The 27,813-nt window shown below is 37.3% G+C and overlaps 1 annotated feature.

The window, feature by feature from the left end:
- Positions 18,561-19,127: an enhancer, noted in NCBI's record as "OCT4-NANOG hESC enhancer chr3:75304365-75304931 (GRCh37/hg19 assembly coordinates)". NCBI's record gives its function as "activates a minimal SCP1, AML or CMV promoter by ChIP-STARR-seq in primed H9 embryonic stem cells {active_cell/tissue: H9 hESC(primed)}" and the evidence as "EXISTENCE:reporter gene assay evidence [ECO:0000049][PMID:30033119]".

A 27,813-nucleotide genomic window follows, 5' to 3' on the forward strand; every position in this document is an offset into this window, starting at 1 on the left:
TTTGGGAGGGACCAGGGGCAGAATGATATGATTTGGCTCTGTGTTCCCACCCAAATCTAATCTCAAATTGTAATTCCCGTATGTCAAGGGAGGGGTCTGTAATCCCCATGTGTTGAGGGAGGGAGATGATTGGATCATGGGGGCAGTTTCCCCCATGCTGTTCTCATGAGAGTGAGTGAGTTCTGATGAGATCTGATGGTTTTATAAGTGTTTGGAACTTCCTCCTTCCTTTCTCTATCTCCTGCTGCATTGTGAAGGTGTTTGCTTCCCCTTTGCATTCCACCATAATTATAAGTTTCCTGAGGTCTCCTCAGCCATGTGGAACTGTGAGTCAATTAAACCTCTTTCCTTTATAAATTATCCAGTCTTGAGTATTTCTTTATAGTGGTGTGAAAATGGACTAAAACAATAATGCATATCTTTCTTGGCTGTTGTGAAATATTTCTGTTGTCTTTTCCATCAATTCAACCTCAGCCTTGAAGATTCAACTAAAACCTACCTTTCTTAAGGGACTTCTTGTCACTGCTATGGCTTGCCTTTGTCTCTCCCTTCTCTGAACTATTATGATAATTACTGTGTGTTGCACATTGGAGGAACTCATGACTTATCATTTATCATGCCATCTAGTTGTAATGCACAGGGCAATGCAGAGCATTGTAGTTCTTGAGCCCAGCCCAGGGAAACTGGCAGAGATTAGGATGTGGATATAAATATTTGCGAATGGTGATCAATAAATAGCTGCTAACCATTTTCACTGTAATTCAGTCAGAAAATGTGTACTCTAACAATATAGGAAAAGTACCTTAAAAATATATCCAGACTATTCATTTGCAAAATACGTAGCACAGAAAAAGAATGTGAGAAGTAAAAAAAAAAAATTTGAGAACTAACACTATGAGTCAGAGCTTTGAGATCTGAAGATTTCAGCCTTTTTTTAATGCAGATATCTCAGAAACTTCAGCAGAGAAAATAGGAACATTGAGTGACATGGTATGGATGGATGCATCTTTTGTTTTAACTTGTCTGTTTTGCTTTATTCAATAATATATTTTTTCCTCCTCCTTTTCACATCATTGACTTTTGGTTTAATGGTTTTCAAAGTGTGTGATGGGGCTTTAGACGTGGATATAGACAGACAAAAAGTTTCTTTGTCTTTCTATCCCGTGACTATATTTTACACAAGGTCAATAACAGGCTTCAGTGTTTTTACAATTACCAAGAGGATGGGATTTGTTATTGTGTGCAGATAAATGTGCTGATGCCTCCATTATTTATGGGATGAGATAAAAGTCATGAAGCCATCTGAGACAAAAGGCACGTATATGTTTTATATCTATGTTTTTGATGTGTTCTCTCATAGACATTGTACCTTCTATAGCCCAGTGACTACCTAATGTAAATTTCAGGTGGAGTAAAACTGTCAACATTTAGTATTTTTTATGACTTACATTTATGCAGCTAGGGGACAAACATCTCACTTTAGAAAACTGTGTGTAGTAGGTAGAGTGAAATTGGTTTTTAATTTTATTTTCTTAAAGTATCTAGTGTTTATGTTAGAGAAAAAGAATACCCCCAAGCTTAGGGGTGATTTCTAAATTTAAGGGCCTTTATGTGAAAGAAAAAAATGTTCCCAATGATTAAAATGCTTTAGAAATATTTTAACGTATAAAATCTGATTTCATAAATTTAGAAAATAAAAATATCTGTCTTTATTTTAAAGTAAATAGAGGCCAGGTGCAATCCCTTACACCTGTAATCTCAGCATTTTGGGAGGCTGAGGCAGGAGGATCGCCTAAGCCTGGGAGATGAGGCTACAGTGAGCTGTGACAGCCCCACTGCACTCCAGCGTGGACAACAGAGAGAGACGCTGTCTCAAAAGTAAATAAATAAATAAATAAATAAATAAATAAATAAAGCAAATGGAATATGTTGTCAGCTAACGACAAGGGTAATATTCTTGATCAATTCTCAGCAGAATCTTATTCTACTATTTGTTATTGTTTTTCTTGTGGTAAATTAGGGTTTAAGTGTGGCCATGAAGCAGAGAAAGGTCATCTAGTTACAAATAACAAAATATATCTAATTCACAGCTAATGTTGGCAAGGTTATGTGGGTCAAGGCACTGTCAGGAACTACTGATGATGTTATAAAATGTTGTAATTTTCTGGAGAGAAATTTCATAATATATTCCAAAAAGCTTTAAAATATTTATACTGTTTGAATAATTCAACATCTAGAAATGTATCCTAAAGCAATGACTTATATTTAGTGGTAAAATTAGGAAGCATTCTCTTTGAATTCAGGAAGAAAATATGCCCATTAAAACAGCTTGGAGTAGGGGAGGTATAGAGAGATTGGTTAATTGATACAAAATACAGTTAGATCTAAGGAATAAGCAAGGTGACTATAATTAACAATAATATGTTGTATATTTCAAAATCGCTAGAAGAGAAGATTTGAAATGTACCCAACACAAAGAAATGGTGAATGTTTGAGCTTATAGATATCCTAAATACCCTGATTTGATCATTATGCATTGTATGTTTATCAAAATAGCACATGTGCCCCATAAAGATGTACAATTTAACTTAAAACAGTATCATCAACATGTTACTAAATTTCCCAGACAATGCAATAAGATATGAAACATAAATGGAAAGTAGATATATTAGAAAGAAAGATGCAAAATTTTAATTACAGCTGATAGGATTGTCTCCATAAAAATTCAAGAAACTCTACAGCTAAACTATTACAGCTAATTAGATTTTAGCAATGTAGGTGAATGTAAGAGATCCATACTAAAAAAAAAGTCAGAGTCTCTGCATAGCAGCAATTAGAAAATATAATTAAGAAATAAGTAGAGACAACCATCAGAATTATATATTAGTATCTAATTACAGCAATGTTTAGATTTAAAATAATCAAGAGAATCCTAAATGTAAAACACTAGGAAAATAGTGACATAAATTATGATATATTTCTACAATGGAATATTGCTCCAGTCAGAGACCCTAAAGAAAACACATAATTGTCACAAATTTAAGCTATTTGAAGAGGATCTAAGTTTGTGAAAAGAAATCATAAGGAATGCAATGTCCGGGCTGGACTGGATAAGGAGTAATTAACAAAATCTGGATGAAAAGTGACTCTCTTTGAGAGGAGCAGCCAATCAGAGTTAATCCAGTAAGAAGGAACAAGGTGAATACAAATGCCTGACTTCAGGCTTCTTCCTTTCTCTGCTATTTTACCCTAGTTCCCCATTGTCCAAACCACCTGAAACCAGAGATCTAAGGAGCTGTTTTATTTCATACACACAGATTAGCTCCAGAAAGAAAGCAATGTGAAAAAGATGAAACACAGATTTGAAGGGTAAAATGGGAAATACTGTGCAGTCATTTAAAATTATATATTCATAAGTGATTTAGTGAATGGAAATATGTTTACTCTGAATATAGTAAAAAAAAAAAAAAAGTAAGATGTATTAAATAAATAATTACATACTCAATGAAATTCCCATTCTTCCCTCTCAAGCAATCTTGAAGACCAGACAGAAAACCAGGCTATGAATCAAAGAAAAAAATCAAAATCACACTTCATAACTGCTTCAGTAACCCTTGGCAACAGACAACACACTGGATTTTGGCTAATAACACTAAAATTTTTGCTGGTGAGGTCTTCAGAAACCGGATAGATGTGAAACCACCAGAACAGAAGTGGAGTGGGCACGATATCTGTTTCTTCAATTTGTAGTTTCATAGTCAAAAACTGGCATGTATATACTTAATCGGTGACATGTAAGTCACATGCCTTTATCCCAAATCTAAGAGAAGTTGAGAACTTAATTTCTGGCTTCTACCTTGGGAAGGGTCAGACTCATAAGCTGGAAAATTAGCCAACATACACAGGATATTCAAAGCTTCCAGGCAGACAAAATACTGTCAAGTGGTAAAACAGATATGAAAAAACCTTTTTTTCTCTCCTAAATTTAAAAAAATGTAATTTTCCTAAAACATTGTATGTGGCTTTCCATAAAATTAAAAGAGTCTTGGGAGAGAGAACATCTCATATGCTTCCTAGTGAATTACTTCCACAATAAAGCAATTAATGAAAATGAAAATACCGTGTATAACATTTTTAAAGCAGCCTTTTCACTGATAAATATGTTTTAGGTATATATACAGCTATAAAAAGTTTTCCTCATAACAATTCCATTTTATCTCAGGTATAATCTGTCAGGAGAAATTATTTCTCATTCCTAAAAATGGAACAAAAAGTTTGAGCTAAAGAAACACATTTCTCATTCAACACGCACATCCACAGTAGTTTCTTCTCATGCCGAAGTGAGAAAATCTACACTTCGGATTGTACAATTTTTATGAAAGTAATTAATAAATAAAAAATTTAAAAGAAAATTATATCTATATTGATAAATAATATCTATCACCTTGGCACCTACTAACAAAATTTTCTACTTAATGGTGATGTTTCAAAATATGGTCCTGCTCTATTTATGATAATATTTGATCTGCCCTATATAGGCTTTATATTACATTTAAATTATATGTGTACATTGCTTTCTTCATATTAAGACATGTCTATACAAATATTAGTAGCAAATATATTATTAATTTTTATTCCAATTTATGGTGGAGTCTTTGGCTTCTTCAAGTGGATCACTCCCCTAGCTGTCCAGAGCTCCACACCTGTTCTCCTGTGTTTTCCAGTGTCCGGTCATACAGAGTTTATCAGAGCCTAAGAATAGACTTGTGGTATAGAACGGCATTTCTCTTGCCAGTGAGAGGGTTCCTGAATGCTGATGAAGCAAAATTTTCACCAGATCTTTTGAGTAAAATTGATAGTGTTAAATCAAGTTTAGCCAAAAGCTGCCTCCTTGCCTATTTTAAGTTCATCCTAAAGGTTTTTCCATACATCATGTACTATAACCTAAATGGAGTTATAAACAGACTATAGTTTACTCTTGTGCCAATCCCTGAGAAAACTTTGATTGGCCAATCAAAGGTGGCCAACTGTTCAAACCATGTTCAAATAAGGCAAACACTGAGCGTCACCAGTCCGGCTGCTTCTGTACCTCACTTCCGTTTTCCATATGTCACTTTCTTTTTTTTCCTGTCCATAAATCTTCTACCAGGTGGCTGCACTGGAGTCTCTGAGCCCATTCTGGCTCAGGGAGACTGCCTGATTCACTCTTTGCTCAATTAAACTCTTTTAAATTTAATTTGGCTAAAGTTTTTCTTTTAACAACCTATACCCTGGAAACAAGGGACAGGAGGTGCTTGTGCAGTGAAAACTGGGTGTTCTTCAGTATGATTTAGCACTCCCATGACAGTTGCACACTTAAAACATTTCCTTTTTTCACTCTGTCACATTTCCTACTCAGCTCTTTTAGGGTGCTAGACTTACTCCCTTCTTTAGGAACTGGCTTACCAAGCAGTATCCACTTTTTTTTTTCTTTTGGTAACAAAATGCTTCCAGTTTTACTTGGGTACATTGCTGCCCACTGAAGACTACATTTTCCAGCCTCCCTTGCAGTTAGACGTGTCCATGTGACCAAATTTGGGCCAATGGAATGTGCATAGGAGACAGGTGTGCAGCTGAAGCGCTTTCCTTCTTTTGTTCTTTCAAAATAAACCTTGATATCTCTCTAAATGGCACACCAAAATCATCAGTAATTCCAAAATTAATTTTTATTTATTTGCAGGAAAGGAGAGCCCAATCTTCAAATCGTGTTAGAAATTAAGAGGAAATATTTGTAGCTATTCTTCTAGCATATCAAAGAAAGGAAAGTAAAATGCCAGACAGTAGATTTCCACATTCAATTTTGCAATCCAGTGATTTTCTAATACCTATGAGTCCTGCATACATGATTTGGAAAGCATATATTACTTAAGAAATTTACAAAGTGCAATAACCACTTTGGGAAGCTGGCGTGGGAGGATTGCTTGAGGGTAGGAGTTTGAGACCAGCTTGGGCAACAAACTCCACCTCTACAAAATAATAATTATTAATAATAATAATTAGCCAGGCATAATGGCAGGTGTCTGTAGTTCCAGCAATTTGGGAGATTGAGGCAGCAGGGTCCCTTGAGCCCTGGAGTTTGAGGCTGCAGTGAGCTATGATCATGCCACTGCACTCCAGTCTGGATGACAGACCAAGACTTTGTTTCAAAACACAAAAAGTAAGGTACAATAACATGCATCTACTATCATTCACTAAAATAATGTATTTTCTTTCACAAAACACCTTTTTCTTCTTATTTCCATAGCATATCAGAAAGATTGAATAAATTTCCAAAATATTAGACAGAAAAGGATTTAATGGTGCATTTGTTTTGATTTTCTTATTTCCAGGACAGGAGGCTGAGAAACCGATTCATTGGGCAGCTTACCCAAACTGAAAGGGCCAACCAGAGGCAGTGCTAGAATTAAACCCAGCTTTGTTGCTTTTAATAACTATGTCTTCGGCTTATCCACATGTTTATTTTCTTGAACAGCAGGCTTGTAATATTTGACCTTCTGTATAAATACAACTGGGTTATTATAGCAATTGATACTTTTCTGGATTTTATCATAGCCAGTAAATAAATTAACAGACTTAGAAGGCTCCAGTTTAAAAATCACCCAGCCATTCAGCACTCTGGATCATTGGCCTTTCTTTTTAAAACTATCCTCTCTTTGATAAAACCACAACACTCATTCCCAAAGTCTATTTTAATTAATATGATCCTCAACATTCATAACCGTACTTCTTTCTCTTTTGCTTTTTTTCATTCTGTCAGCAGAATATGTATTTGTTGGAAAATCTTCTTTTCCTTTATCTACACTACACACTACATGTTTCTCCTCCTTGTCACTTTCATTTGTCTATAGGAAAACTGAATACAGTGTCTTTTAATCTCCTTTTAAGAAACCTGTCAGTAATGATAGCACAAAGCCATCCTGTGGGTCATGTGTTTATGGATGCTTTTTGTTTTGTAGTTTAAGACTACTGACTGATGTTTGAATATTCAGTGCACTGACTCTTACATTCAGAGAAATCTTATCTGTAGTAAGCAGACCTAGGATGCAGCTTGTTTGCCTTTCACTCTGTAGCTTCAGCAACAGCAAACATCATTTTGCCAATTTTGTTCCTTTCTTTTCACTGCAATCATCTTCTTTCTTTGTCCTAGACCATTAGTTTTGCGGTACTCATGAGCCTCTCTCAACTCCCTTGAGAGTGTCATGGCATCCTCTAAAGGTAACTTGTGGGACATGCAAATCTCTCTGCCTTGACATCTTTCACTCCTACAGGTAGGGTTTGATGCTTTACCTTTCCACTATCTTGTGGCGTATCTCTTTCCTCAACACCACCACCCCCCAACCCCCGCACCCCACTACTGGCTTCAACTCCAAAACTTAGAGCATGGTTGGGTGTCCATCACCTTCTCTTTTTGCAGGAACTATCAAATACATAGATAAGTGTATAATGTGTACAACTAATGCCCACATTTCATCACTAACATAAAAATGAAATGAAAATGCTGTAAATAAAATTAAGATCTCTTTGACTACTCCCTAAGTCTCATCACTTACACTCCTGCCCAGAGGCAATGTCTGTCAAGGGCTAACTTAATATAATTTCATCCTAATTTTCATGTTTTTCAAACATACATGCATTTGTATAAACAATAAATATTGTTATTATTGGTGAGGTTTCTATTTACAGAAATGATTGCATAGGGTAATTATAAACTTGCAATTTGCTGTTTTACAGTTATCATTATGTTTTTAAGATCTATCTGCTTACAAATGTTAACTGTTTTATGAATCATTCCATCATGTGATTATACCTAATTTTGTTTAGTCATTTCCCTATTGGTGTTCATTCATGCCATTTCTAATTTCTACTGTTACCCAAATGAGCACACTTATGTGTGTCTCCTTGTGAACTTGTGTTTTACTAGAGTATATACCTAAAAGTAAGATTAATGGGTTACAGGATCTGTGAATTTTAGTTTGACAAGATATGCCAAATATCTTCCCAAACAGGACCTATCAACCTTAATTTTTACCAGTAGTATATAAAAATATTTATTTTCCAAAATGCCCCCAATATTGAATGTACATAGACTTCTAAAAATAATATCTGAATTCAACAATCTTAACTTGAATCATCCTTGTTATTTCCTGTTAAGAATAGAGAGGCCAGGCAGGGTGGCTTATGCCTGTAATCCCAGCACTTTGGGAGGATAAGACAGGTGGATCACCTGAGGTCAGGAGTTAGAGACCAGCCTGGCCAACATGGTGAAACCTCATCTCTACTAAAAACACATAAATTAGCTGGGCATGGTGGCAGGTGCCTGTAGTCCCAGCTACTTGGGAGGCTGAGGCAGGAGAAGTGCTGGAACCCAGGAGACAAAGTTGCAGTGAGCCAAGATCGCAACACTGCACTCCAGCCTGGGTGACAGAGTGAGACTCTGTCCCCCCCCCAAAAAAAATAAATAAAAAATAAAGAATAGAAATACTTCCAATTACTTTGAAAGTACTGTAAATAAACGAATACATGAAATGGTACACATAACTTTAATCTGTTAAATCCTGAAATACATCAATTTTTCTTTAAATGTAACAAAGCCTAATTAATGAATTCAGTCCTCCATTCTTGTTTATTACATTTCTTACAAGTTCTAGATACTGTGCCAGGTTCTGGGGATAAAATATTGCACAGTGGAATTGTTCCCTGGAGAAACTTACAATGTAGTGGGAGAAACAGATACCTAAACACCTAGTTACAATAAAGTCAAATAAGTGCTATCATAAAAGGAAGTTGCAGGTGATATATGAGAACACAGGAGAATGCCTAGGATTCCTAAAGGGAAGAGAAGGTAGGAATTAGTCAGGTTAGGTATGGGGTCAAGGGAAGTGAATTTATGAAAGATTTGAGAAAGGATTATCCATGCAGAAGAATGACATGTGCAGAGAACTGGAGGCTAAAGAGATGAGCAGATTCTCAATTCTATCAAAGAATTCAGCAGCATACCTGGGAAAAGAGTAGATATAGTCTGATGTTGGTACATGAAGAGATTTTAATACCGTATACTTAAATAGTTTGGATTTTGTTTGTTTCCTTCTAAGGAAGATGAGGAACCATCAAAACACTTTAAAATAAGATGGCGATGACTACATCATCAAAACTGAGCATTAGGAATAAGACTCAGAAAAGCACATAGGAGAAATACCAGCAGGAGCAGAGAAGAGACAGATGGATCAATGAAGGAAAGAGACAACAGTGACAAAAACTAGTAGAGATGGAAAACGGGCTGTAGAAAGAGATTTAAAGGAAGTAAAATCAACTGAACTTTGTTCACTCAATACATATTGAACATTTACTATGTGTCAGGCAAAGTTCTGGGTATTTGAGATTCATCAGTGAAAAAAATGCACAAAACAAACCCAAAAAACAACAAAAAATCTGCCTTTTGGAGCTTATGTTCTTAAAGTTGTGTTTGTCTAACCCACTGATTTCATGAAGGAGGGCTGTGATGCAGAGATGAATTATGGGCACACAGTAGGTAGTAAGAATGTGGAAGATCTGGATCTTCAAGAGTTGGAGCTTCCTCCACAGGACACTTGATGAAAGCTAGCATTGTTCAAAGGGAACCAACAAATGTACTTTGAGCAGCAGACATATTTGCTAATCAAATAAACTTGATATAATGAATTTGAGGGGGAAAAAAAGCATTTGAAGTTATATTTAATGTTTTGCTGGGTATATCTCAGTTTCTAGTGTGTTAGTTACCTAAGATGTGACTCCTAGGCCTGAGAATCTATATTGTGAATTGAAAGAAGATGCACAGTTTCTAGATACAACTAGATGATAGCAGGCTGACTTTTCTAGCAGATACACGAGGCATAGTACTTAAGGCCCACGATACTGTTAAGGGCCTAAAAAAGTGTTTTATTTTTAATCAGAGAAAATAAATGAACTTTTAGGTCAAAGAAAATAATACGTAATATTAATATATTCACCTTTAAGACAATGTATTCATAAAATATAACTTTAAATCTTTTTTGGAGGAAGGTGACCAGGAGGATAAAAGTACCTGTGCCCATCAAAGTCATAACATGGCTCTCTATAAAAGGGAAAGAGGGAATTCTGTTTTATGTTAATATGTTAAAAACAACCCAGCAACCTCATTTTATTATTGCCTTGATGGTACTCCTTACTTTTCAGCCTTCTTAGGAACTACCTGTTGGAGATTTTAAATATATCCAGATTATATTGTATCTGTTATTGTTTGGTCCTCACAAGCTCAACTTCTTGAGCTATCTTGGATGTTATAAGATAACACAGTAAAAGATACTTCAAGTTCCATGATTGAACCAATGGATTTAGAATCACAAAAATGTAACTTATTCCAAACTTCACACATCTCCTCATGTGACTTGATCGAATAAGACACTCAACCCTAGGTCTTTTATTTTAAAAAGGTGCCTTATTTACTACATCCATTGGGAAATAAGGAAGTGACATAATGATTCACCTCTGTGAAGTTGTTATCCACTTGTATTCCTAGGCCGGGCAATCTTTCTCTCTTGGGACGGGTGAAAGGTCAAGTCCATCTTGAAACACGTAACACTGTGACTTCACTTTGTTTGAGTCTTCACAAGCTCTCAAGAGCCAAAGTGGCTTTTCCAAATAGCATGCATGTTTTCCTCCATTTATAGCTGTGCCTTATAGTGTTTCTCTTACTCCTATCAAGAGAAACAAGAGCCTGCTCCTCAATGGACCATCTATCTCCTCAATGGTGGGGATCAGAAGCAAGATTGCCATTGGCTTATTTCCTCCTGAGATCCATTCAAGAGAAGCAGAATAAGTCATTATTAGTTCCACTACCTTATATATTACATAAGAAACTAAGATATTATTATCAGGTTCTAATAACCAAGATAAGATTGCTACTTTTTTTTTGTCATAGATTTTGCTAATCACAAATAGTCTAACACATTTTTCCTTACCCCCACGCCCATTATTCAATAATTGCAAACTGAGTTCTCAATAATTGCAAATCAAATGTCAGAAACTTTTCGAAATGCTAGGGAGCATCCCAACGTTTGTCCCTAAAGGATTTCAGTTTATAAAATACATTGCCAGCTATTGGGTCAACATGTTGGTGATTTTTAACTCTCAAAACGTAAGCTTGAGAATTTAATGACAAAAATCTTTCACAAAAGCACTGTGGTCTGGGTATAGAAAATAGCTAGAATGAGATGAGAAAACAAAATTAGAGCGTAAAAGTAGTGGATCTGGGGCACCACTTAGAGGCATGGTGCTTGGTAATGCATTTTTCTGTGCTTTTCCTAGTGTGCCTCTTCCTAATGAGACATTGTGGTAACCAGGGTCCCAAGTCTAGGAAAGGTTAAACTGTTTATCTTCATTATCTCAAGTCCTGGGGAACTTAATGGCCCTCAAGGCACATGCTGAATGGTTTCTGTCCTATATAATCGAGTATGCTATATTTCCAACCAAGATAAAAACCTCAGGATATATTTTTAAAATATTTCTATGAATGTACATGATATTTTCAGAGGGTTGATTAAGCTCGGGGCTGTCATTCTTTGAAAATATAACATCATTTCTGATAAACACTCAGTTTGTCTGATCCAAAATGGAAAAATTTATTTTAAATTGAGCAGAGAATTATACAATCATGTTATAGAAGCTGAGAACAATTTCATTATTTTTATCTTACTAATGATCATGAGCTATCTCTCTTTTGAATGAGGAAAATGATGAGATTGAGGTATGATCAATCCCGAATACAATTGGAAGGTTTTTTTTTTTCTTATAGTAATGGTGAGTTTGTGAAAATCTACTCCTCAGTATTTGACTGTTTCTTTCTGTGCACAGTTGTTACATATGTCAGATTGCTAGCTCTGATGAAGACACTATCTTAGACACGGAGAAAGTTAAATGAAATTCAGCCTGAAACCCCTTCATAGCAGGTCTCAGGGAGAGATGTTTGCCACATTCTAAAATCCAGAAAGGAATTCCATTATTCCTGAGCATCTTTACAGCTGGGCAAAGAAGATAAGTTGACTGGTACTGCCAGTAAGTGTATGGATTTTGAGATGATTGTTATGTTCAGGGATTTCAGGCTGAATAAAATTAATCCAAGTTGTTGCTAATAAATGTTGTATGAAAATCCTCAAACAATGGAGATATCTGCTTTTATATCTATTCATCCATCCATCTATCTATCCACTCATCCATTCATCATTAATGGAGCATATATTTATTGAGTCTTCATTATGGTGCCTACTATAATAACAATTAGGCACTGTTCTAAGTATTAAGAATATAACAGGACATAAGCATAGTGCTCTTGACTTCCTGAAATTTAAAGATTGGGGGGATGGGAGGTGACAGGGACCAAGTAGTAAATAAGCAGCTATGATACATTTTGAAATGCAGAGAGATAAGAGTACACAAAGGTCCTATGAGAGCCCCTGAAGGGGCAGGAAACTCAGATCTAAGAGGGTGATTAGGCAACTTCCTGAAGGAAGTGGCATCTAAGCTGAGATCTGAAGCAGAAGGAAGGATAAAGAATATCAGATGAATAGCAAAAACAAAGACCAGGACACTCACATATATACTTTTGAAGGACCTGAAAGAAGTTAGGAAAAACTGGATTATGGTGTGCAAGTTCAGGGGTCTTGGAAAAGTAGGCATGATAAGGTGCACCAGGGTGCAGTCTGTGGAAGTGTCTTACTGATTAGGGAGTGGTGGTGATTACAATGGGTACTCTGATTTAGTTTTTGGAATCACATTATTTTAAATTCATTTTTAAAAGTACATTTTCATTGTCTATTTATCAATGTGTTAAATTTATGTAATCTTTTTTATGAAAAAGGATTTCAGGTGGTTTCTAAAAGTACATAAAGTATGATGCAACTGCATGAATTCAAGGGGGTACAAGGATATGCACAAAGGAATACCACAATCAGGATACAATAAATCCTCCTACAAAGGCAGATTATACTGTCCTACAAGCTTCATCTGAATAACACTAACCCTTGGAGGAAGGGTATTTTGGATTCTTACAATGTGTGAGGCAGGGTTATAGCTGCTTTACATCTATATCTCATTTAATCCTCAAAGACCCTGCCACTCGAAGTGCAGTCCCCAGACCAACAGCATCAGCATTACCTGGGATTTGTGAGAAATGCAGAAACTCTGGCCTTATCTCAAATCTGTTGAATCAGAATCTACATTTTAACAAGGCCCTGGGTGATTCCTGAGCACATAAAATTTGCCAAGAAGTGGACAAAGAGCATTTACCATTAATATGTTTTTCAATTTACAGGTGAGGAAACCAGGGTTCTAAGAGAATAAGTAACCTGCCAAAAACTAAACACTTAGTGAGTGCAGGGGAAGATTTTGAGTTTACACTTTCTGACTCAAGGCACTTTTTTTTCAGGGGTGGGGACGGTGGGGCAGTCTTATCCTGTTGTCGATGCTAGAGTGCAGTGGCATGATCCCGGCTAACTGCAGCCTCAACCTCTTGGACTTAGGTGATCCTCCCACCTCAGCATCCGAAGTAGCTGGAACCACAGCCACGTGCCACCACACGCTGCTAATCTTGTTTATTTTTTTAGAGAGGAGATTTCACCATATTGCCCAGGCTAGTCTCAAACTCCTGGGCTCAAGCGATCCTTCCACCTCAGCCTCCCAAAGTGCTGGGATTACAATTGTGATGCATTATGCCAGCCTGCAGGCCCTTCTTGGTTTCTAAGTGGCATAGCTTCCCCCTGTGTTTGTAAGCTTTATGGTAAGCTTGCCCAACCTGTGGCCCACGACTTTGAATGTGGCCCAACATAAGTTTGTAAACATTCCTAAAACATTATGAGATTTTTAGGTGATTTTTTTAAGCTCATCAGCTATCGCTAGTGATAGTGTATTTTATGTGTGGCCCAAGACAATTCTTTATCCAGTGTGGCCCAGGGAAGCCAAAATAGTAGATATTTCTGCTTTACGGTGACCAGCCAAATAGGGAATATGGGCTTTTATGCAAAACGCATTGTCCTAATGATTTTTTATTTTTTAAGAGACTAGTTGCTCAAAAGAACAGCAGGGCAACTACCATCAACATTATCAGGAAGGAACTCTTCCCAGGGATTTATATAAGCAAGACTTTACATGATGCAATGAATGGTAAGTCAAGCAAAATCTTTCCACAAATGCTAGCTGATCAATCAAAACAATGTGATTTGATGGAAAATGACTTGGTTGGCAGTGATTAGCTAGAACATTTAGCTATCTCAGAAAGGCTGAAGCAAAAGTTGATTGGACAGCAGCAATGATGTAGGAGCTGTTTCAGTTAGGAAGACAAGCTAATGACATCCAAGTCCCCTTCTGCCTCTCCTATGTTGAGTCCTGCTCGATGGCTCCTCCCAACATAAAAAATTACAAATTTTTGTAAGCATTCACAAACCTAAATGTTTACAGGGATGTAATGGACTGAATTGTGACCCACCAATGTTTATTATGTTGAAAGTTTAACCGCAATATGACTATATTTGGGGATAGGACCATTAAAGAGGTAATTAAGATTAAATGAGGTCATAAGAGTGGGACCCTAATCCAATAGGACTGGTGTCCTTATAAGAAGAAGAGACACCAGGAAGGCACATGCACAGAGAAAAGACCATACAAGGACACAGCTTGAAGGCAGCAAACCAAGGAGAGGCCTCAGGAGAAAGCAGCCTGCTGACACCTAGATATGGGACTTCCAGCCTCCAGGACTATGAGAGAATACCAGTCTGTGGCATTTTGTTATGGCAGCCTTGGTTAACTAATAATAATGGGCTAAGCAAGTAATCTAAATAAAGGAAACCATGAGGTTAAATGTAAATGCATGCATTTGAGAAGTAATAGAGACTGCATTTAGGCCATTGTTGACACAGAATTGCAGGAACAGTATTGTCAAGCTCTCTAATCTTTAAAGAAAATAAAGTGTGTGTATGTGTATGTGTGTGTGTGTGCGCACGCACGTGGAGGTGGGGGGTAGTTCATGTAAAATCTTTTTTTTTCCAAAATAATATTTTGTTGGTTTATTTTAAAAGTCATAAACTATTGAATGATCTAAGCAAACATATCTGGGGTTTGGATCTACCCCTATGTGGTCATCAATTTGTAAACTCTTTGCCAGTGCTGTTGACAATTCATCATAGTAGAAGCAGTGAAAGACCATTTAGCCATGTAATCATCTTGCCTTCATATCACATCATCCATGTGATGCAAGTATTAGAATTTTTGCTCAAGTAAATTCTTAGATACTATACTTAAGAGAAATGGTGCCTTAAAATATGCAAGATATAACTGTCAAGGCTTGACACCACATGTATATTGACGGAAGCCAGAATAGCTATTGCTAAAAATGCATTTCATTGACTATGCCCTCTGCAAATGTGCCATGATGACAATCAATCAGGATAAATCACACAGCTATTCAACTAATTCATCCATAAAGAAAACTGGTAATTAGAGTGTTGAAGTCAGTGAGGCCAAAATCAGATGCCCATAGCATCTGCATTTGTAGGATATGAAGCTTTAATGGTGGTCTCTCAGAAATTTTAAAAACAGCCTTATTGGCATTATCCACTGCTATCTACATGGACAGCCTTCTCCATGATTTTCAAGGTCATATGAGTGGTTAAGTATTCACTTCCTTATGCATTTATAAATTGTAGGGGCTTTCCAGAGAAAGTTCTAAATGACTTATTTATTGTTGCTTGCAGTTCTGAAAACTCTAAATTAGAAATGTCAACTCCTTTGTTGGACAATAGTTTCATATTGGTGCTGGTCAGTGGGATTTCCCAACTTGAATCTCTTACTTGATTACTTTTTATTAATCTGTTTTTTAAACTACTTTTTTTTACTTGGTTATAGGATTTACTTCATGTCCTATCTCTGGTAATAGTCTTTAGCTTTTGCCCAGCCATGGTTCTCACTATCCCTTTCCTAGAATTTTGCAGTAAGGACTAATGGACTTACAGCTTTCCAATCTCATCTGACTCTAAAACCCATTATTACTATGTCTTTCTAAGGCAAAATTATATCACAGATTTTGGATTGATATAGTGGTATTCATGAGCCTTCACAATCACCTCTGCTTACCATTCTCTTACTAGGCTCCTTTTCTTTTACCTTCTGCTACAATGAACTCATCACTCACAGAAATACAGGCTTTTCTACACCAATACAGGTGCCCATGCTGTCACCTGTTAATTTGGGAAATATCTTGGTAAATGCTTTACTTGGTGACATATGCAGAATTCTAAACTTTATGGCTTTTTGTTTCTTGCTTAAAATATTTCTACTGTTCTGTTCTCTCTTCTAAGTATTTCTGCATATGTTATACTTTGAAATTGCTCCATAATTTTAGATGTTCTTGGTTTATTTATTTATTTTTACTTTACATATATTTTTTGAGACAGAGTCTCATTCTGTCACCCAGGCTGGAGTACAGTGATGCAATCTCGACTCACTGCAACCTTCGCCTCATGGGTGCAAGCCATTCTTCTGCCTCAGCCTCCCAAGTAGCTGGGATTACAGGTGAATGCGACTACACCCGTCTAATTTTTTTTTCTTTTTCTTTTTTTTTTTTTTTGAGACAGAGTCGCTCGATGTCACCCAGGCTGGAGTCCAATGGCGTGATCTCGGTTCACTGCAACCCCCGGGGTTGAAGTGATTCTCCCTGCCTCAGCTTCCCGAGTAGCTGGGATTACAGGTGCCCACCACCACGCCCAGCTAAGTTTTATATTTTTAGTAGAGACAGGGTTTCACCACGTTGGCCAGGCTGGTATCAAACTCTTGACCTCAGATGATCCACCTGCCTCAGCCTCCCAAAGTGCTGAGATTACAGGCGTGAGCCACTGCACCTGGCCAGTTTTTGTATTTTTAGTAGGAACAGGGTTTCACCGTGTTGGCCAGGCTGGTCTTGAACTCCTGACCTCAAGTGATCTGCCCACCTTGGCCTCCCAAAGTTTTGGGATTACAGGCGTCAGCCACTGCACCGGGCCCCTATTTTTCCTTTGTATTTCAATATTTCTCTTTGGGAAGTTTCTATTGAACTTTCCTTGGCTGTGTCAAATCTACTCATAAGCCCATCAAAGGCATTTTTCATATCCATATATAGGATTTTTTATTTCCAGAATTTTCTTTTGTTTCTTAGAGTTTCTATCTCTCTGCTGACATTACCCATTACTGTTTCCTTTAAGGTCCTTAAAATGTTAATCATACTTATTTTAAAAAGATAATTCCAACATCTGAATCATATCTAAGTGTTGTTCTGATGGTAGCTTTGTCTCTTCAGATTGTGTTTCTCCTCATCCTTTATCATGCCTTGTAATACTTTGTAGAAATCTACACATGCATCAGGTAACAGGAACTGAGATAAATAAGTCTTCAGTGTGAACATTTATTTTAACCTTTCTAGGGGTAGGATTGTGTTTAATATTTGCTGTAGCTGTAGGTGCCAGAGACTTCAAATTCAGCTGATGATCTTATTTTTTTCTTTGGTCTCCCCTCTTGACTTTGTGCTTCCCTAAGTATGTACTTCTTTTCAAATAGAGAGCTTTTTCAGTTGTAATCCACTGTCATTGTGTTGAAACCTGATGGTATGGTGTTAAGATGTAGGAGAGATATTGCATGATTAAAATCCTCCAATTAAATCTTAGTGGTTTTTTTTTTTTTTTTTTGAGATGAAGCTGTGTTGTTGTCTGGGGAAATACTGGAGGTTCATTGTCTCATGCCAAGGAAATCAAGGATGCAGAAACATAAAGAGTGCGCCTGAGAGTGGAAGTTTAGGCTGGACACGGTGGTTCACGCCTGTAATCCCAGCACTTTGGGAGGCCGAGGCGGGTGGATAATGAGATCAGGAGTTCAAGACCAGCCTGGCCAAGATGGTGAAACCCTGTTTGTACTGAGCGAGACTCCGTCTCAAAAAAAAAAAAAAAAAAAAAAGAACGGAAGTTTAATAGACAAAAGAAAGAAGAAAGCTTCCTTGTGCAGAGGAAGGGGACTGGAATGGGTTTCTAGCCTTGCAACAAGATGCAGCTGCTTTTACAGATGAGCTTGAGGAGGCAGTGTCTGATTTACAAAGGGCACAGAGGATTGGTTGGACCAGATGTGCCATTTACATAGCACACAAAGAGGCTGGTCATCCAACCCTGATCTTTTATTATGTAAATGGAGTTTTCTACCTGGCCTGCGCCATGCTGCCCATTTCTTTACTGCACATGTGGCGACAAAGAAAAGGGACCCCTATGTTGAATATACCTGACTTCCAGGTGTCCTTTTTCTATTGGCACAGCTGCCGGCATTCATCTGTGCAAGCTTCCACTTGCTTATCTATGCTTGCAGCTTGATTTTGCAGGCTGCTTTTTGTTAGAAAAGAAATTATTTGGGGGGTGCTTTTTATTAAAAGGGAAACCTTGCCGAGGACTCTGTTACCTTCACTATCTGCCTAAATAATTTCTTTTTAGCTCCTGTGTCAGAGATAGGGTCTTGCTCTGTCACCCAGGCTGGAGTGCAGTGATGTGATAGAACTTCTGGGTCTCCCAAGAGGCTAGGGTTACAGGCACTTCCACCACCATGCCCCACTTAAATCTCAGTGTCTATATCCTGGGGCTATGACCTTCATGATCTAGCTTTTATCCCCCTATCTCTCCCTATTCCCTTCCCTGGCTGCAGCATCCGCATTGTATTTCCTTGAAACCTTGATTGCTGTTGATTTGTTTTCCCTTCTTAGGTGAGACCAGGAGGCTAAAGGGAGCTTCAGTGGGAGGAATGCCTCTACTGTGATAAACTCTTAGCAGAGTCTTTCTTTTGGAGTGTCAGCCTTTGTTAAGGAGAAGACTGAGCTATTTCACAATGATTACTCTTCCCTTCCACCTGCCAGAGCCATGAAAAAACATCTTTTCAGATGTTTACTGTGAGAACCTGGTGGGGTTCCTAAATATAAAGCCCTTTAAAGTGTGGGAGACCCCTACCCCTAAATATCCAGCTCCTAATAGTTTCTCACTCTCACAGTAATTCATACACAACCCGCAGCAATTCATTACATTTACCATATGATGTTCCTATCAGTGTATGGCACCAGCTTCTTCTCTTCCAGGTAAGCAGATCTCAGGTGTGTCTCTCTGGATGCACCCGATGAGTCCAAGAAAAGTCATTGATTTTCAGTTGGTTCAACTGTTTCTTGTCATAGGCCAAGTATGACGTCCACGTTCTTTACATGTCAGAGCTGAACCAGACTCCTAAGCCTTTTTTTTTTTTTTTTAACTTTTTTCTTTTCTTTTTTGATGTTTAGAAGATATGGCAGTATTCCAGCACATGTTAAGAGTATCCTGGATGGGAGTATGGCAACCACTAAAGCCAGTCTCTAGTCTTTTCAATTCCACCAAGTTCTTTGAAGAATGAAATGACTTTCTCCGGCAATCACAGCCTTGCAGAAAATCTGTGCTCCTCGAGCATAAATGCTAGTTGAAGCTAACAGGGACAGAGTTGATTAATGAAGTAAAGGTACAATGCTGCTCCTGTTAATACATGCAAAGTTTACATGTTCCCAACATCAACGGGCTTTTGCCTAACTGTGATATCTTCTCTGAGCTAGTAATCTAGGTTGAGGTACTTGAGGGGTTCAGAGTATACCACCCCAAAATATACTACTCTGGCATAAGAATTGTTTTGAGCTAAAGGCAATTGAGGAAAAAACAGACACAGGACACACTCTCTGTCCTTCCTTTCTCTACTAGGAAGACTAGAACAATTCTTAATCACCTGAGACAATGCTGGACTCTTATCAGCCCAGAGATGGCACCAGAGGAACCTATATAACTTTACTAAAAGAAATTTTATCTTCTATTAGTTTCAGCCCCTATATATAGCCCACCACAAGTTATAGCCCTTGGAAGGCTAAAAGTCTTTTCTCTTATGTCTTGCCATTTTTCTACAAATTTATTATTATTTGCTAACGTACTATATATGCACAAGTTCTTTTTCTTTTTTTTTTATTTTTTTATTTTTCCTGAGACAAGGTCTTGCTCTGTCACCCAGGCTGCAATGCAGTGATGTGATCATAGTTTACTGCAGCCTCCAACTCCTGGCCCAAGGGATCCTCTAGCCTCAGCCTCCCAAGTAGCTAAGACTACAGGTGCACACCACCACACCTAGCTAATTTTGTACTTTTTGTAGAGATGTGGTCTTGCTATGCTGCCCAGTCTGGTATGCTCAAGTTTAATCACCCCTTTGAGTCACTTGTCACTGAGGTTTCTCCCAAGTGATGTGCACTGCACATATTAATAAACTCTTTGTTTTTCTCATATTAATCTGTCTTTTGTGAGTTTAGTTTACAATGAACATAAGATAGTGTCTTATTCTATTCGGGCTTTTATAACAAATTACCGTAGACCCAATATTTATTTCTCACAATCCTGGAGGCTGGAAGTCTTAGATCAGAGTGCCAGCATAGTTAGGGTCTGGTAAGAGTCCTCTTCCAGTTTGCACAGTTGGCATCTCCTTGTATCCTCACATAATGTAAAAAGAACAAGCTAGCTGTCCAGCCTGCTCTTGTAAGGGCACTAGTCCCATTCATGACAGTTCCACTCTCATGACCTAATTACTTCCCAAAGGCCACAACCTCTAAACGCCATTATATTGGGATTCAAGTTTCAATATGAATTTTGGGGGAACACAAACATTCAGTCCATTGCAGATGGGTAAAGGGAAAAGATTTTTCCTTCCCTACATACTCCATTTGTTATCTATTCTGAGGCTTGAGAATTTCCTACAAAACTGGTATGTTTAGATAGAGAAAGAGAAATTTTGCTAAATGATGCCTGTAAAGCTTAGCAGTTAGAAGTTTATATATCTAAAATCCTAATAAGCCTATGTTGGATGATACCTTATAAATCCTCCCTTCTTTCATTTTGAGGGAAGGAGCTGAGTCTTAGAGAGGTTGAGCCACATGTTCAAGAGTTTAACAAGTAATGGGGTCAGTAGAAGCCGTGTCTTTCTAACTCTAAAGATAATGGCAGCCTGTGTAAGACAGAGACTCTTAGGTTTTGTGTTGTCTCCTCTCTATGCTTCTTCCCTCTACCTCAAGACCTCTCCTACCAGAGCCTGTCTAAAGCCATGAATAGATGGAGCTTTTTCTATTGCTGCTGCAACAAATTACCACAAATTTAGTGTCAAGTAATACATATTTTATGTTATAGTTCTGGAGGTCAGAGTCCAAAATAGATTACTAGGCTAAAATGAAAGTATCTGTAGGGCTGCAGTCCTTCTGGGAGCTGTAAGGAAGAAACCATTCTGTGGCTTTTTCTAGCTTTTAGAGGTCATCCACATTCCTTGGCTCATGGCTCCCTTCCTCCATCTTCAAAACCAGCAAGGTTTGGCTGAATACTTTTGAGGCTGCCGTCTTTCCAATTCTCTTGCTTCTGTCTCCTCCTGCACTTTTGAAGAGATGACATTAGGTCCACCTTGAAAGTCTGGGATAATCTTCCTATTTTAATGTCAGCTGGGTAGCACCTTTAACTGTCGTTTGCTATACAACCTAACATATTCACTGTTTCTGGGGATTAGCTATGGACATCTTTGGGAGACCATTATTCTGCCTGCACTAGAGAGAGATAGAGAGAGAGAGAGAGAAATTCCTCTCTCAGCATATGGTTGGGGAGTTGATATATTAATGTATAAGTGAGAAATTAAAAAAAAACTGCTGGTAAATAAGACAGTATAGGACAATTAATTGATTAGATTCAGGTTATAGTCATTGGAATAGAGAGAAGGCACAGATCTAAGTGCACTGGATATATCCAAGAAAGTTACATCTATCTGGGTAATAAAGACTGCATAGCTATTGGATGAGGCAGGAAGGGACCGCAGTGAAGTGAGGAGCAGTTAGGAAAGAAGGCATCATGCGTACAGCATAGGGATGGAACCAACTCTAATGAGTTAGGTCATGTTGATAAATAGCAAGAAAACTGTGGATAGGAAGGGTAAGATGAAATTCTGTTTACTCTTAAAGCTAGACAGGGAATTCTTATGGAAGGATAAGTTTTAAAAATCCAAGTAAATGGTACATGAATTCTCCTTGGCTTCAGAGCACATGGACAATGATTAATTGCAGCAATATCATATGAAATCACCATTCTGTAGGTCAAAAATTGTCAAATATCTGCAATTTCTTATGAATCACCTTAAAAGAAGTGTAGAGGCTCAATATTACTCTAGAAATAGGGAGGGAGATTCAATGATCAGAAAGTTGTTCTTTAAAATCACCACAAGAGGGTGGTAAAGAATTATGCTTTATATCTGCACACCTGCAGAATATTGGTCTTTCCACACACAAAAATAATTATTTAAATGTATGTAAGATGGAGCTTTGGAGATGTTTTTGTTTCTAATTTGCTGTTGTTAATCATATTTAAAATAGCATAATTTGGCATCCACAAAGTATATTGGCTGCTAGCTGGACGTCTTCAATGCAGAGAACACCAGTTATATGCACATATCTCAATCTTCCATATGTGTATGAATGCGCTTAAAATGCAACAGATTCATACATATATTATAAGCACCTCGTCACTGTCAAACTTCTAATCTATGATGATGAATTAAATAGAATTTTAAATGGAGAAATCTGTATTTTAAATTCATTTCCCTATCTTGTTTATGAAATGAAATATTGAAATGAATTTAGGGGAGTGGTCCTGTGGTTCATGTTCAAATGTTAGTCAGGCTACGGCTGTTTACCATTCTCAGTGACCTTGATTGAATTGCTCAACTCAGCTGGGAACTGAATTGTGTATTTAGAGGATTAAGCAGTGCTGCCTGACATTTTAGAGTTAGACACACCTACTATAACTTGCTTTGGCATTAACGCTGGGCTTCTCTTGAATTAAAATGGCAACCTCCATTCTGCAAGTGAAGGTCTCAGGGACTTGAAGATATGTTTACTCTATCCAATAACATGGGTATTGATTTCTGATTTCTTTTTTCATTTCCCTTCTTTATAACTTAAAATTCCCAACATTTTAGTAGAGATGTATTTAATCGGTAGTCTTTGATTATTATATGTGCACCTGTGTCTGCAAGTATATCTGTACGTGTGCCTGTGTGCATGTGTGCATGGATGTATATGAGTGTCTGCATGCCTGCCTTGTGATATGTGAGTGAATACTTATCCAATGTGTGTGCATCTCTGTGTTTGTTTTGTTGTGTGTTTTCCTATGTGCATTACATAAGTGTGTGAGGGTTGGGTGTCTGAGAGTCTGTGCATGTGTGTCTACAGGAAGTACATATGCACATATGGCACACGCATTGGCATACATTGTGTGATGTGCACTTGTGTACATACACGTTTGTGTGTGGGTGTGAGATACACATTGTGGTGCGTTCATGTGTGATGTGTGTGCACAGGCATGTGCAAGAGTGTGCTGGTGTGTGTGCATGCATGTGTGTGTTCCTAATGTGCATGTGTGTGTGTCTGCATGTGTATTCGAGATTTTGGTAGGCAAGTAGGGAGATCTCAAATTGAGTGTCTGTGTGTGCATATGTGTATATATGTGCCTGTTTGTATATATGTGTGTGTGTGTGTTGTGTGTGTGCATAAAGATAAAGAGCTAGATACATTGTCTTTAGAACCGTATTCACAGTTGAGCGCCTTTCTCTGAGCCAGGAGAAGGCAGTGTGCTCCTTGTACCCTCTCTGAGTTTAACAAGGGAAAGCTTTGAACTTTCAACTCTAGTGCTGGAGCTGCTACTCCTTTTGCCTTTCCCTCTTCCCCCATAACACGTCTATTTATGTATTGTGTGGGAGATATACCTAATGCTAGATGACGAGTTAGTGGGTGCAGTGCACCAGCATGGCACATGTATACATATGTAACTAACCTGCACAATGTGCACATGTACCCTAAAACTTAAAAGTATAATAATAAAAAAAAGAACCCATTTTAAACCCACCAACCTCCCCTTACTTTTCACTTACTCTGTGTAAAAGCTCTGTAGTCAAGATTAAGAGCACTTTAAGAGCATAGGTGATTCGTCAGGGTATGAGAACTATGATTCAGGTATTTATTTTCATCACTTCATACCTTTACTTTCTCTAGTATTTGACAGTTTGGGCTCTCGGGTAATATCATAAATGACTTTGAGTTTCTTTGGAGAAGAAAAGTGTAAAATAGACTTTGAAATGATCTTTTTATTAATGTGACCATTTCATTAGCCACGGCAGATTTCTTTTAAGAATATATTTTCAGTGAATCTTTTAAAGTTCATTTTATGCCTGCCTTTATTTAAACTCGATATTCTTTGGCAAAAATGCCGGAGTAGACTTTGCAAGTCCTGTTTTCTTGGAAACAGATGATTTCTCACCTTTGAGGTTTGTCTTGAGAATGTGTTCTCTGATCTTCTTAGAGTTTAGTGCATAATCAGTTTTTCTTCTTTTTTTCCTGGCTCAGCAAATTTTCCAAGCTAGCTTTTTCTAGTTTTGGAGTATTTGGAAAAGAGCAGTGACTTTCTAGTCAGGGAGGCTCAAGGTCACATCTGGAGCCAACCACATGTCAAGTTTAATCTCCTGGCCTTTACAACTATTAATATTTACTCATGATGTCTTCTGGACATCTACAAAATTTTAGTCCACACTGTACAATTAGGAAACAAATTATATACTTCTTTTTTAATCTATTTTTTTTAACAGGAGTGGCTTTGGTTTCTTTTTTTAATGTATTCCTTCTTACTGTTATATAGTAGGCTTGCCATAAATTTCTACTGTTAGTCCTTGATATTTTATGAATAAAAAATTTTAAAAGCTGATAGTTTCTCAGATAATTTATAGTTGAAACATGTTAATGCCATCGATTTGCTGCATAAGAACCAGAACACCTCACCACCACATCACCCAAAATGTAAAGTTTATGCTTCAAAAGAAAGGGAGTAAAGCTGTTGGCTTTAAATATATAGAGACTACATAAACATTTCTTGCAACATTTGATTTACCTACATAATGTCAAGTATTTGTTGGCATCATGAAAGACAAGATTTTGGGGGATGAGATATGACTCAACCTACAGAAGTTTCTAGAAATGCCAAGATTTTCAAATTATTATTATAACTACAAAGAAGCATAGACATTCAGGTGATTTTTAACTCATATTTAATAGACATATGAGCTATTCCTCTGAAAGAAATGCTGGAAGACTATGTTTATCAGTTGACAGTGTCAAAATTAGGGTCTAAAATGTGAATCAACAGGACTCCTCAATTATCAGCTTGTTTTGTTCTTCTTGATCCATGGCTATTATCTCTGTTCTTCCAATTCCACTTCAGGATTTGTTAGTGCATATTCTCTCCCCTTTGAGATTAATCCATCCTTGATTTCATTGTCTTCTCATTCCCCTCTTATATGCTATAGCTGATCTGGCAGCGTGATTTCTGTCTGCCAACTGAATTCACATGCATTTTCCAAAGTCAGTTCAATTAGCTGATTTTGATCAGTTTATTGTATGCAAAATAGTCTTAGGAACTGTAGATACACAAGGACAATTCTCTTCCCCATACTTAATATGGTCATAAGCCTTTGGTTGTATACAGAAAAACTGGAAGAAGATCTTTAGGCTTCAATTTATTTCACCATAAGACTCAGCAGCTCGGTGTAGTACTCAATGAGAAAATAAAAACATTTTTAATACAAAAAAAGTACCTGTTTCTTTCACTGCTCTTTGGATTGCCTACTCTTAATGTTTCATCTCCATGTTTACACAGATTAGCTGATCAAAACAGGAGTGATGACCAACTAGTAAATGTATGATTTTGTGTTTATCCAGTCATAGCTAATTCTACTGTAGGTATTACTGAGTCCACATGGGACTGTGGGCTTGTGACACATTGACTGCAGTTCTTCAAGAGCCAGGAAATCTTCTCTAACTCAAATTCACTCTTCTGCTTTATGAACAGAAAAGCCAATGATAAATTATATAAGAAGATGTAACAATAAATTTGGATAGCATGCTTGACTACAAAACATTCTGGGTGAGGTTCAGTGTCGCTGATAAGGTGCAGAGAAAGTTGTGGAGAGACTCATGGCTGCTTCATTACTTCATGGGCAACTTGCCTAAGCTTGTCTTCCCTTTGTTTGAGATTTAATTCAGCCTTACTCACTTTATGTCACTTCTCTTTAGCCAATTCCATTCAATAAACAGATATTGAGCAACCATCAGATGCCAGACATAACCATATGTTCTAGACAGCAGCTAATATACTATCTGGTAAATAGTAGTAGTACACTGTAAATAGTTGAGATTAACAACTGTGTGAAAAGTGAGTAAACAAATGTATAGTTTTTCAAACATGGAGATATTCCCCTATTTGCCTCTCACTGATTTGGGGATATAGCTAACATTTCTGGCCCCATAGTTGGACTTTCACTGAGGGGTCATTCTTGCTGACTCTCTGGACCCTCTGTGCCTATGTAGCACTTTGGTGCCTGTCTGTTGTCTTCTTAACAATATTCCACTTCCCTGCTCTCTTGGATCCTTGTAGCTCCTTTCCATGTAGATGGAATACCATGCCGGGATCTTCTTTGCCAAATAATTCTGTAGTCTCTAAAATTATTGACTTCAGATTTAGTGCACAACAAATAAAAGCCTGAGTCACTCATTTGTTGACTCATTCATTAATTTGTTTTTCAAGAAAAATAATAAGCTTCTACCAAATGCTAGGCCATACTGCAAAAAGGGAACCCACACTTAACAAAAAGCAGTTCCTACACTGAAAATGGACACAAGGACAAGGAAACTGGTAATTATCAAAAGACAGCCTGACTTGAGCACTAAAAAACTATATTGTATGAAAACCCATCCCTAAAGTCTCCAAAATGGCCACATATTAGAAAAGTATCCAATGCATAATAATTTCATTGAATATTTGCCAAATAACATCTTCAGATGGACAAAAATGTCTATTCTATTAAGTCAATACAAAATAAATAGTGTCAAACAAAGAAGTGATAGTGATTGGAATGACAAGAATTAGATCAAAATTTTAAAAGTGGTATTTTAAGATGTAAATGAACTCAAACTAAGCTAGTAGCATTAATAAGACAGAAATTCTAGGAGACTTGCTTAAATAAGGAGGTAATAATTATTTTAATTAATTCATAAGCTTTTGAAATGGTGTCTCTAAAGTGATAACAAATGCTTTAAAAGAGTTTGCTTTCCTCAATAGGTTTTATAAAACTCTGTTGAGTAGGTAATGCCCGTTAAAGGTCACTCCAGCCATTCCCCACGATCATAAACTTCAAATGAGTACCTTCTAAATGAATGAAATTTTACTGTGAAATAATTCTGCTTATTTCTGCCAGGCTTCATGAATGCTTTGAAAAATTTCAGGAACCCAATCCTGATAAGCTACTAGGAAGTCAACTTCATTATGCGGTTATGGTCACCAATTTTTTTCCTGGGAATGACATATAAAACCTCTCATCTGAGCAAAATGAGGCAGATTAATGTTGCATAAAACATATACAGTCTGGATTACAAAATCGCAAAAGCTATCTCTTGGCTAGAGAAGCCTTCCCTCTTTAGATGCCTGTACGTTTCAAGAGAAATTTCCCCAGAGCTTAATTCCTGTTACAAACAAAAAATTCTACATAATAGAAATAAACCTTGATATAAGGAAATTTTAGTCAGCTTTGCTTGCTGGCTATGAAATATAAGTATAAATTATTACTTTAATTAACCTTTTGCCT

Source organism: Homo sapiens, chromosome 3 (assembly GCF_000001405.40).
Source record: "Homo sapiens chromosome 3, GRCh38.p14 Primary Assembly".
In the NCBI taxonomy this organism is placed as follows: domain Eukaryota; kingdom Metazoa; phylum Chordata; class Mammalia; order Primates; family Hominidae; genus Homo; species Homo sapiens.